Below are 13577 nucleotides of genomic sequence, written 5' to 3' on the forward strand. Positions count from 1 at the left end.
TGAAATCTGAGCAATAACTTCCATGAGCTTGAAGGTAGATTCAGCTCCATGACCTCCAGAAAGGAATGCAGCCCAGCTGACAACTTAATTTTTGCTTTGTGAGACTCTAAGTGGCGGATCCCAGCAGACACACACTATACTCAGTCTTCTTACCTACAGAATTGTGAGATAAGAAGTGGGTTCTGTTTAAGCTACTAAATTTGTAGTAATTTGTTACAGCAGCAATAGAGAACAATCATTAGCAACCAGAATATAGAAAACTTGGCAAACAAACAAGAAACAAAAACTTTGTTAATATTAGGGAAAACAAGAAGTTCTATAATAAAGGGAAAGCCATCATGGAATACAGCTGGGCAAGGCTGACAATAGTGTATTTATGGTCACAAAACTGTAAACACTGAATACAAATTTAACTAAAATTATGATATAATCATTTTGACATGATGCATGGGGGCCTGGAGCAGTGGCTCACGCCTATAATCCCAGCACTTTAGGAGGCTGGGCAGGTGGATCACTTGAGCCCAGTAGTTCAAGACCAGCCTGGGCAACATGGTGAAACCCCGTTACTACAAAAATTAGCTGGACACAGTGGTGCACACGTGTAGTCCCAGTTACAGGGGCACTGAGGTGGGAGGATTGATTGAGACCAGGAGGTTGAGGCTGCATGAGCTGAGATCATGCCACACTGCACTTCAGCATAGGTGACAGAGACCCTGTCTCAAAAACAAAAACAAAAAAAAAAAAAAAGGAAAAGAAAGAAAAAAAGGATGCATAGGGAGGGACAGAACATGACATTTACCTGTGGGATTTGGAGGATTTGGAGAAGATGCTGCATAGGGTGTATGAGAAAGAGACAGTCTTTATATTCCATAAAAATTACCCAATAGATATTGCTAAAAGTAAGAAAATTAGGGAATTACAAATTAAGTGCATAATTTTGGTAGCAAAAGGTGGTTGCTCATAGAAGCAGGATATAGGGAAAGGTGTTAAAGACTTTTAAGGCCGGGCGCGGTGGCTCACACCTGTAATCCCAGCACTTTGGGAGGCCAAGGTGGGCAGATCATCTGAGGTCAGGAGTTCGAGACCAGCCTGACCAACATGGAGAAACCCCGTCTCTACTAAAAATACAAAATTAGCCAGGCATGATGGCGGGTGCCTGTAATCCCAGCTACTCAGGAGGCTGAGGCAGAAGAATCACTTGAACCCGGGAGGCGGAGGTTGCAGTGAGCCGAGATCACACCATTGCACTCCAGCCTGGGCAAAAAGAGCAAAACTCCGTCACGAAAAAAAAAAAAAGAGACTTTTAAAACACACACATATAGCAGGTCTTGAAGAACTATTTTCCTCTATCAACTATTCAACTACGTGCAGGTTTAGTCTTAAGTAAGAATAAAATCTAATTTTAAAGCAATTGTTAACTCCAGGGGAAAAAAATTCCAAGTAATATATAAACAAATTGAAAGAATGCTGCAGTGGTATATGTGTAAAGTGATTTTAGAGAGCAAAATTGATTGGTCCATAGTAGGAAGTCAACAGAAACTTATCCAAAATTGAGAATTTAAGAAGGAATTGTGGGGTTTTTTTTTCTTTTTTTTTTTTTTGAGACAAGAGTTTTGCTCTTGTGGCCCAGGCTGGAGTGCCATGGCATGACCTTGGCTCACAGCAACCTCTGCCTCCTGGGTTCAAGCGGTTTTCCTGCCTCAGCCTCCTGTAGTCCCAACTGTCATTTTTTTTTTAAGAAATAAACAAAGAAACAGCTGTTTATGTTATTTAGAAATATGGAGGCACATAGCAGAAGGAACAGCTAAATGAGTTGAAATCACCACCTCTTGGGAGAGGTTAGCAAAAGGATGATGGGTGCGGGAGTGCCCTTTTTCATAATGAAAACAAAATTATCTGGCTTTTGAAATTATGCATAGTGTTACCTAGACAAAAATAAGAATTTACATTGCATTGCTCTGAGATGTTCTTGATTTTATAAGATGTTTTGTGTATATATATATATATATAGTTTCATGTATTTCTAAGGATGTGGGTGGGAGGAGGGATGCTGCCAATTAAACCATGACATGCCACTGATGGTAAAACACATGATTTCAGATATGTTAAAATATGAGAATATGTATATCTTTGAATCTGTGAAATACAGTACTTTTTTAAAATAGATTTTTTTTTTTGAGGCAAGGTCTTGGTCTGTCACCCAGGCTAGAGTGCAGTGGCATGATCCATAGCCCACTGCGACCTCAAACTCTTAGGCTCAAGTGATCCTCAGAAAATTGAGGTCATAGGGTACACGGCCAGCCTGAAAACTAGACAGGACAATACACAGAATCACAGTTTACCAGGAGCAGAAGCAGCTGGAAACAATAACTGGTGGGAACATTTAAACAGTAATTATGAATTGCTGGAGGCTGACTGTGGACTAGCTTGAGGGTTTAAAAAACCCAGGTGCCCGTTCTTGGGGGGCTAGGGGGCAGAGGTATATTTTTGTGAGTTTGGCCTCCCAGAGTCCCACCAGTTTCTCACAGTGAAGATCTGAACAAAATCCCCTCACACTTTGGACAGGAGTAGGGTAAATAAACCATGTGGAAATAAGCCCAGAGTGCTCTGTTCTCTGTAGCAAAGGCCTGCCCTCAATGGATACTACTTTACCAGCATCTTACTAGCCTAGAGGAAGGGCAATTAGACAACTACAGCCTCCTTTAGCTTTCCCATCTCATGTAGGGGGAGAAAAAAAAAGCAAAGAAATTCTTCTGGAGGTTATAGCCCAGGGACTCGGGCCCGTTAAAAAAAAAACCAAAAGCTGGGAGTGGTGGCTCACGCCTGTAATCCCAACACTTTGGGAGGACAAGGCAGGCAGATCACAAGGTCAAGAGATCGAGACCATCCTGGCCAACATGGTGAAACCCCATCTCTACTAAAAATACAAAAATTAGCTGGACATGGTGGCATGTGCCTACAGTCCCAGCTAGTCGGAAGGCTGAGGCAGGAGAATCACTTGAACCCGGGAGGTGGAAGTTGCAGTGAGCTGAGATCGTGCCACTGCACTCCAGCCTGGCAACAGAGCGAGACTCCGTCTCAAAATAAATAAATAAATAAATAAATAAATAACCAAAAATGGAGATTTAATTATAAGTTTAAGCTTTCCCCTCACCAATACCTCACCAGCACAGCAACAGAGCTCCATGTAAAAACAGTGGATTACAACTGAAAGAGCTGCAAGACACAAACCAGAATTACCAAGTTTCCAGAGAAACTGCAAGACACCAAGGGAGACAAAAACAAGAACATTTGAGGAAATTGAAGTCTCTGACACTTACAGCTACAGCAAACAGTAAACACAACCTAACTCCTAGACAGACAAAAAAACCACTAAAGCCCAATTTACCTCCGTTACTATTACCTGATACATCATGCCTGACTGTCAACAAAATTTATGACACATTAACAGCAAGAAAAAACACAGTATGAAGAGACAAAGCCAGTGGCAGAAATTTTGGAATTATTGGATCAGAAATTTAAAATTACTGTGATTAGTGTGCTAAGGTCTCTAATGGAAAAAGTAGACAACAGGCCGGGTGCAGTGGCTCACGCCTGTAATCCCAGCACTTTGGGAGGCTGAGGCGGGTGGATCACCTGAAGTCAGGAGTTTGAGACCAGCCTGGCCTACATGGTGAAACCCCATCTCTACTAAAAATACAAAATTAGCCAGGCATAGCTCTATTAATTTTAGCCAAAGCGGACTTCAGAATAAGGGAAATGTCAGGGATAAAGATGAGCATTACATAATGATTAAGGGTGAGATCTCCATGAAGACCCAACAATCCTTAATGAGTACGTGCCTTACAACAACAGACCATCAAAATATGTCAGGCAAAACATACAGAACTGCAAGGAGAAATAGGGAAATCCATTATTATTATTATTATTATTATTATTATTATTATTATTATCTTTGAGACAGAGTCTGGCTCTGTCGCCCAGGCTGGAGTGCAGTGGCGCGAACTCGGCTCACTGCAAGCTCCACCTCCCCAGGTTCATGCCATTCTCCTGTCTCAGCCTCCAGAGTAGCTGGGACTACAGGTGCCCGCCACCATGCCTGGCTAATTTTTGTATTTTTAGTAGAGATGGGGTTTCACCGTGTTAGCCAGGATGGTCTCGATCTCCTGACCTTGTGATCTCCCCACCTCGGCCTCCCAGAGTGCCGGGATTACAGGCACGAGCCACCGCACCCAGCCAGGCAAATCCATTATTATAGTTGAAGACTTCAACATACCTCTAGCACTAATTGACAAATCCAGTAGGCAGAAAAAAGTAGTGAGAATATAGATGTGCAGTACCATGAATCAACTGGATCTAATTGACATTTATAGACTAGTTTATCCCCAAACAGCAGAATACACATTCTTCTCAAGCTCCTATGAAACATTAACCAAGATAGACTACATTTTGGACCATAAAACATATCTTAACAAATGTAAAAGACTAGCAATCATACAAAGTATAACACCAGAGAATTAAACTAGAAATAAGAGAAAGCTGGAAAATCCTAAAATTTTGGAAATGAAATGCTAGTAAATAACACATTGGCCACAGAAGTCTCAAGATAAGTTAAAAAATATTTTGAATTAAATGAAAATCAAAATTTGGGGGATGTAAGGAAAGCAGTTCTTAGAGGCAAATGTATTGCAATGAATGTGTGCATTAAAAAAGAAGAAAGACCTAATATCATTAATCTAAACTTCCACCTTAGGAACCCAAGAAAGGAGAGCAGTATAAACCTAAAACAAGCAGAAGAAAAGAAAAAGAAATAAAAATTCAAACAGAAATCAGTGAAACTAAAAACTAGAAAATAATAGGAAAAATTGAGAAGACCACAAGCTGGTTCTTTGAAAGATCAGTGAAGTTGATAAATCTTTGGCCAGGCTAATGAAGAAATAAGGAAAGAAGATATAAATTAATTAATATAAATAAAAGAAAGGCCAAGGCCGGGTGCAGTAGCTCATGCCTGTAATCCCAGGACTTTGGGAGGCCGAGGCAGGTGGATCATGAGGTCAGGAGATCAAGACCATCCTGGCCAACATGGTGAAACCCCATCTCTAAAAATACACAAATTAGCCAGGTGTGGTGGCGCATGCCTGTAGTCCCAGCTACTTGGGAGGCTGAGGCAGGAGAATTGCTTGAACCTGGGAGGCGAAGGTTGCAGTGAGCCAAGATTGTGCCACTGCACTCCAGCCTGGCGACAGAGCGAGACTCCATCTAAAAAAAAAAAAGCCATCACTACTGATCTCATGAACATTAAAAGGATAAAAAGGAAATAGAAATAATTCTGTGGCCACAAATTTAACACCATGGATAAAATGGATCAATTCCTTGAAAGATACAAATTACCAAAATTCACAAGAGGAGAAAAATATAATCTGAATAGGCCTAGACCTATTAAAGAAAGTGAATCAATATGCAATAAACTTTCACAATAGAAAACGCCAGACAAAGATGGTTTCACTGGGCGAATTATACAAAATTTTTAAGAAATAAATGATACCAATTATCTGAAGATAAAAGCAGAGTGAATGTTTTCTATCCCACTTCAGGAAACCAGCATTACCCTGATACCAAATCTACGCAAAGACATTGCAAGAAAGGAAAATTAGAGACCAGTTTCTGTCATGAACGCAGATACAAAAATCCTCAACAAATTATTGGCAAATCAAATCCAAGAATGTATAAAATAAACTGTGCACCATGATGAAGTGGGATTTGTTCCGGGTATAAAAAGGCTAGTTTAATATTTCAAAATCAATGAGTATAATCTATTACAACAACAGACCAAAGGAAAAAAATCATGTGATCACATCGACAAATGCAGAACAAGCATCTGACAAAATCTAACACCCATTCATTATAAAAACTCTCCGCAAACTAGGAATAGAAAGATAACTTTTTAAACTTCATAAAAAATATCTACAAAAACACTGCAATGAACAGCATTCTCAATGGTAAGAAATTAGATGCTTTCTCCTAAGATGTAGAACAAGGCAAGCCTGTCCCTTTTCACCACTCCAATTCAATATTGTACAAAAGTCCTAGCTAATATAATAAGATAAGAAAATAAAATAAAAGGTATACAGATTCAGAAGGAAGAAACAAAACCATCTTTGTTCACAGACATGATTATCTATATGAAAAATCCCCAAAACTTGGCAAAAACTCCTGGAACTAGTAAGAAATAATAGCAAGGTTGTAGGATAAAAGGTTATTACACAAAGTGAATTGCTTTCCTACATACCAGCAATTAACTTGCGGGATTTGAAATTTAAAACACAATGCCATTTACATTAGCACAAAAATAAGTATAAATCTAACAAAATATGTACAAGTCTATGTGAGCAAAACTATCAAACTCTGGTGGAAGAAACTAAAGAAAACCTAAATAAATGGATAGATATTCCATGTTCATGGATAAAAGACTCAATACTGTTAATATATCAGTTCTTCCCTATTTAATCTATAGATTCAACACGATCCCAATAAAAATCCCAATGAGTAATTTTGTGGATGTCGACACATTTATTCTAAAATGTATACAGAAATGCAAAAGAACCAGAACAACCAACAAAATGCTGAGGAAGAACAAAGTTGGAGGACTGACACTACCTCACTTCAAGACTTACAACAAAACTATAGTAATCAAGGCAGTGTGGTCTTGGCAAAAGAACAGACAAATAAATCAATGGAACAGAATAGAGAATTTAGAAATAGACCCACACAAATAGTGAACTGATCTTTAAAAAGAAGCAAAAGCAATGCAATGGAGAAAGGATAGCCTTTTCAACAAATGGTGGTGGAACAACAGGACGTCCGCACACACAAAAATGAATGTAGATACTGATAACTTTCACAAAATTTAACTCAAAAAGGCAAAACTACAAAACTTCTAAATGATAACATAGAAGAAAATTTAGGGGACCTTGGGTTTGGCAATGAATGTTTAGATATGAGAAAGAAAAGACTCTTTTTATCTGAAGAATGTGAGCTCCTTTATCAGGCCCAGAGAGGCATTGAAATGTGACAGCACTCATGTCTCCTCCCACCTGGAGGTAAGTAATCATTTCAAAGATGCCTGTTAAATGAATTATAGACTGACTATTGCCACCAAGAGCTATGAATTAACCTAAAACACCCCATGCTGAACACCATAATGCATGCTCTATAGTACAGCTCTATAGTTCAACAATGTATATAGCCAATCACTAATCAATGTTATCTCTGTAAACCAATGACAATTCATTAAAAACAACTTTTGTAATCACCCTCTCTCCCTTTTTTTTTTTTTTTTTTTGGAGACAGAATCTTACTCTGTCGCCCGGGCTGGAGTGCAATGGCGTGATCTCGGCTCACGGCAACCTCCACCTCCTGGGTTCAAGTGATTCTCCTGCCTCAGCCTCCCAAGGAGCTGGGATTATAGGTGCATACCACCACACCCATCTAATTTTTGTATTTTTAGTAGAGATAGGGTTTCACCATGTTGGCCAGGCTGGTCTCGAACTCCTGACCTCAGGTGATCTGCCCTCCTTGGCCTCCCAAAGTGCTGGGATTACAGGTTGAGCCACTGTGCCTGGCTGCATCACGCTCTCTCCTAATTTGTTCTTTTTTCTTTAAAAACTTGAGCCTCTCTTTTGTTCTGTGGGGCACTTCCTATTGCTTCCCTGGCTGCAGTCCTCAACTTTGGTCCAAATAAACTCTATATTAATTTTGCCTGAGTTTCTTTCTTTAGCTCAACAGGTATAACATAAAAAACATGATCCATGAAAGAAAAATTGGTAAGTTAGACTTCATCAAAATTAGTGCAAAGTCACTGTCGAGAGGATAAAAGACAAGCTACAGACAAGAAGAAAAAATCTTTGCAAAGCACATATCACCTAAAGGACGAGTATGCAAAATATACAAAGAATTCTTAAAATTCAGTGATAAAAAAGCAAATAATCCAATTAAAATGAGTGAAAAAATCTGAACATACACCTAACCAAGGAAAATATACAGGTGGCAAATAAGCACATGAAAAGATGCTCAACATTGTATGTCATGAGGGAATTGCAAACTAGAACAATGAGATACCATTACACACCTATTCAACTGGTTAAATTCAGAAAAACAAAAACACAAACAACAAGAAAAAACTCTCACTATATCAGATGCTGGCATGAGTATGGAGCAACCGGAGCTGTTACTGTTGGTGGAAATACAAAATAGTACAGCTCCTTTGGAAAACAATTTGGTAGTTTCTTTATCTTTCTTTTTTTTTATTTTATTTATTTATTTATTTATTTATTTATTTATTTATTTATTTATGAGATAGAGTCTCACTCTGTTTGTTGTCCAGGCTGGAGTGCAGTGGCACGATCTTGGCTCACTGTAACCTTTGCCTCCCAGGTTCAAGCAATTCTCCTGCCTCAGACTGCCAAATAGCTGGGATTACAGGCACCCGCCACCAAGCGTGGCTAATTTTTGTATTTTTTTTGTTTTTTGTTTGTTTGTTTGTTTTTTTAGTAGAGACAGGGTTTCATTTACTATGTTGGCCAGGCTTGTCTTGAACTCCTGATCTCAGGTGATCCACCGATCTCGGCCTCCTGAAGTGCTGGGATTACAGGCATGAACCACTGTGCCTGGCCTTTTTTTTTTTTTTTCTCTGAGATGGAGTCTCACTCTGTCGCCAGGCTGGAGTGCAGTGGCACATTCTTGGCTCACTTCAACCTCTGCCTCCCGGGTTCGAGTGATTCTCTTGCCTCAGCCTCCCAAGTAGCTGGGACTACAGGCATGCGCCACCACACCCCGCAAATTTTTGTATTTTTAGTAGAGATGGGGTTTCACCATGTTGGCCAGGATGTTCTCGATCTTTTGACCTCGTGATCCACCTGCCTCGGCCTCCCAAAGTGCTGGGATTACAGGCGTGAGCCACCGTGCCCGGCAGCCTATTTTTATTTTTAATGTTTTTTTAGGGATGGGGTCTTGCTGTGTTGCCCAGGCTGGAGTACAGTGGCTATTCACAGGCACCATCCCACTACTGATCAGCACGGGAGTTTTGACCTGCTCTGTTTCCAACCTTGGCCAGTTTACCCCTTCTTAGGCAATCTGGTGGTTCCCTGCTCCCGGGAGGTCATCATATTGATGCTGAACTTAGCGCAGACGCCCAGGCAACATAGTGCACTGCAGCCCAGAACTCCTGGCCTCAAGCGATCCTCCTGCCTCAGCCTCCTGAGTAGCTGGGACTACAGGCACGCGCCACCACACCTGGCCAGTTTACTAGTTTCTAACAAAGCTAAACATTGTCTTAACGTATAATCTAACAGTCACACTCTTAGGTATTTACTCAAACAAGTTGAAAACTTATGCCCAAACAAAAACCTGCACACAGATGTTTATCATGGTTTTCTTCATAATTGTCAACAGCTGGATCAAGATAGCTCTCAGTAGGTCTATTAGTTCCCTAAGCCTGCCATAACAAAGGGCCACAAACTGGGTGGCTTAAAACCACAAAAACATATTCTCTCACCATTCTGGAGGCTAGAAGTCTAAAATCAGTGTGACAGCAGAGTCTTGCTCCCTTTGAGACTCTGGGTAGAATCCTTCCATGCCTCTTCCTGGCTTCTGGTGCTGCCCAGCAATCCTTAGTGTTCCCTGGCTCACAGCTCATCACTCCAGTCTCGGCCTCCATTGTCATGTGTTGTTTCCCATGTGTGTCCTGTCTTCAGATGGCATTTTCCTCCTTCTTTAGGGCACCAGCCACGTTGGATTAGGACCCACTCGAATGACCTCATTTTAATTGATTATACTGCAAAAGCCCTTTTCCAAATAAGGTCACATACACAGATTCCAAGGGTGAAAGCTTCAGCATATCTTTCTGGAGGATACAAGTCAATCCTTAAGAATAGGTTAATGGGCCAGGTGTGGTGGCTCACACCCGTAATCCCAGCACTTTGGGAGGCCGAGACAGGCAGATCACCTAAGGTCAGGAGTTTGAGACCAGCCTGGCCAACATGGCAAAACCCTGTCTCTATTAAAAATAAAAAATTAGCTAGGCATGGTGGCACACACCAATAATCTCAGCTACTTGAGAGGCTGAGGCAAGACTCACTTGAACCTGGGAGGCGGAGGTTGCAGTGAGCTGAGATCATGCCACTGCACTCCAGCCTGAGCAACAGAGTGAGACTCTCTCTGGAAAAAAAAAAAGAATAAGTTCATGCATAAACACAATATGGTAGATTCATACAAGGGGATTTTTTAAGCAATCAAAAGAAATAAGTTATCAAATCATAAAAAGACATGAAGGAAACTTAAATCACATTACTTAATAAAACAATCCAGTCAGAAAAGGCGACATATGTGCTGGGTACAATGGCTCACACTTTATTACCCAGCACTTTAGGAGGCCAAGGCAAGAGGATTGCTTGAGCCTGGGTGTTCAAGACCAGCCTGGGCAACATGGCAAAACCCCATCTCTATAAAAAATACAAAAATTAGCTGGGTGTGGTGGCACACGCCTGTAGTCCCAGCTACTAGGGAGGCTGAGGTGGGAGAATCACTTGAACCCAGGAGGTCGAGGCTGCAGTGAGCTGTGATTGCACTACTGCACTCCAGCCTGGGTGACAGAGTGACACCCTGTCAAAAAAAAAAAAAAAGAAGGAAGGAAAGAAAGAAAGAAAGAAAGAAAGAAAGCGAGCAACATATTGTATGATGTAACTATATGACATTCTAGAAAAGGTAAAACTATAGTGTAAAAGGTCTGCGGTTGCCAAAGGTTGGGGTGAGGGGAGGGAGTGAGGGATGAAGAGTTGAAGCAAAGATTTTTAGGACAGTAAAACTTTTATTTATATACATGACATTATGCATGTGTCAAAACCTATAGAACTATGTACAACATAAAGAATGAACCCCAATGTAAACTACGGACTTTAGTTAATAATGATGTATTAATACTGGCTCATCAATTGCAACAAATGTACCACTCTAATACAAGATGTTAATAATAGGGGAAATTGTGTGGAGGAGGGAGAGGGAATGTGGGAACTCTGTAATATCTGGTCAATTTTTCTGTAAACCTAAAACTGTTCTAAAAAATTAAGTCTATTGGCCAGGCACAGTGGCTCACACCTGTAATCCCAGCACTTTGGGAGGCCATGGCAGGAGAATCACTTGAGGCCAGGAGTTTGAGCCCAGCCTGGGCAACATAATGAGACTCTGTCTCTACAAAAACATTTTTAAAAATTAAGTCTATAATTTGAAAAAAGATTCACTGCAGTATATAAGGCTCTAGTATCACTTCTTTAAGGAAATCTTTCCTGCTCTCCCATCATATTCCCAAGATGGGTTAGGTGCTCTTCTCCCAAGCTCCCATAATACCCTGCACATATATTTATTTCTATGGTTGCACCTACCACATTGTATTTTAACATTTATCTGTATCGCTGTCAGTTCATAGCTGTGGTTTGCTGACGCTTGGCCTAGAATGCAGAGATGGTGAAATAAGCTAATCCATTGAACCCTTTAACAGGCACCTAGGAATGCCTGACAAAGGGCACTTCTGTTCCCTCAATGCACTGTTGATGTCATTTGTGGTATAATCATTATTAGCCCTCTGGTCCATTAGGCTATTTTCTGGATGACGGCATAAGGCACAGTCTTGTGACATTAAAAGTTACTTAGCCTGAGTAGTCTCTAGATTACTGGTCTAGGGTCTGCCAAAGACGATCCTCATGGGGAAGTTTTTGCACTAACCTCTCCAGGATTCAAATCCAATGGTTTTGACCCAAAACCATGCTGTTTACGTTACACAACACGTTCTCAATCTTGTTCAACTTAAAAGGTGGCACAGTACAGGGGTCACTGGCACACATGCCTACATGACAGATAACATAAGTGACAAAAGCAGACTCAGGTCGAGAAGGGTCCCTGGCATTTGGGAAAGTCCATGCCCAGTCTAGAACAGGCAGCCACTCCTTGGCTTCAGCCAATTGTTGCCACACAGAAATGTGGACACAGTGTTACCAGACAAGGCAGAGAGGCAGATTTCTGTTCACACAGAAACTTTTCAGTTTAAAAAAGTGTTGGCAACTAAGTCAAACTGCTTAGAAATACTGGAGATGGCATATTGGGAGGGTAAGGAATCATCCAATTGAATTGGGGTATTTACGATGGGGGAGAAATAGCAGCTAAAGGATAAGGGCAGCTTTTGGAGAACCCTGATTGTCACACTCAAGGAACTTATATATTGTCATCTAGGTCTGAGTGCACACTAAATAATTTAAGCAAGAACAGGACACGATTAGAATGGTATTTTTAAAAGATCACTTGGCAGTTGACGGGCGAGGCTGAGACCAAATGGTGAATTAGAAGTCTGTCATTTAGCTAAGTAAGGGTAAAGGCAAGACGGCAAAGGCCTATTTACTTGGCTTTTTCTCCTACCCGACTGCAAACTCCAAGACAGCAGGGCCCCACCTGCCTTGTTCATTGCTGTGTCTCCAGCACTAAGCAAAAAGCCTGTTCAACATTTGTTGAAAGAATAAATGAACAGGAGAGAGGGAAGGCGAGAGGCATTTTGAAGGACTGAGTTTAAAAATCAACTACCTTGAAGCCGGTCGAGGTGGTTCATGTCTGTAATCCCAGCACTTTGGGAGGCTGAGGCGGGTGGATCACCTGAGGTCAGGAGTTTGAGACCAGCCCGGCCAATATGGCGAAGCCCCGTGTCTACTAAAAATACAAAAACTAGCCGAGAGTGGTGGCATGCACCTGTTATCCCAGCTACTCAGGAGGCTGAGGCAGGAGAATTGCTTGAACCTGGGAGGCAGAGATTGCAGTGAGCCAAGATTGTGACACTGCCTGGGCGACAGAAAGAGACTCTGTCTCAAAAACAGAAAACAAAACAAAACAAAACAAAACAAAATCAACTACCTTCAGAGGAGTAGAATGTTGGTAATTGTGAGAGCAGTCATGGAGGGGAGGGGAGCCATGGAGGCCTGTTTCCTTCCCTGAACTTCCTCAACGAGGGGGCATCTTAAAGAAGAAATCATGTACACAGATTTTTGTGGGTTTTTTTTGGAGACAGGGTCTCACTCTGTCTCCCAGGTTGGAGTGCAGTGGCATGACCATAGCTCACTGCAGCCTACAACTCCCGGCCTCAAGCAATCCTCTCACCTCAGCTTCCCAAAGTGCTGAGATTACAGGCGCGAACCACTGCGCTCGACCCTACACAGGTTTTTTAAAAAGACGTTTGTGCATTGGATTCCTGGCACTTCACGTGGCCTCTTCAGTCTACCAAAGAAGGAAAAGGTAAGTACCCTGAAGGATTGAAAGGATTAAATGAACATTGAGGGATGAGCAATTTCTGTTCTTCCCTGGCTCCAGCATTACCAAAGCACACAGTAAGAGGACTGACATCGGCCTCCGACCCAGTGAGGATTACTTTCGGGGTGGAGGGGGAACTGCTAAACCTCGAATCTCCGGGACTGGCCCTGGCGCGTTTCCAGTCCCAGCAGAAAGGGCAATCCCCATCCAGACCACACTCCTAGTCCTCCTTATTC

General features: G+C 41.5%; 1 annotated feature.

The window, feature by feature from the left end:
* Positions 13491–13550: a silencer, noted in NCBI's record as "silent region_12948". NCBI's record gives its function as "represses an Ori minimal core promoter by ATAC-STARR-seq in GM12878 lymphoblastoid cells {active_cell/tissue: GM12878}" and the evidence as "EXISTENCE:reporter gene assay evidence [ECO:0000049][PMID:35858748]".

This window comes from Homo sapiens, chromosome 20 (genome assembly GCF_000001405.40).
Source record: "Homo sapiens chromosome 20, GRCh38.p14 Primary Assembly".
NCBI classification, from domain to species: Eukaryota; Metazoa; Chordata; class Mammalia; order Primates; family Hominidae; genus Homo; species Homo sapiens.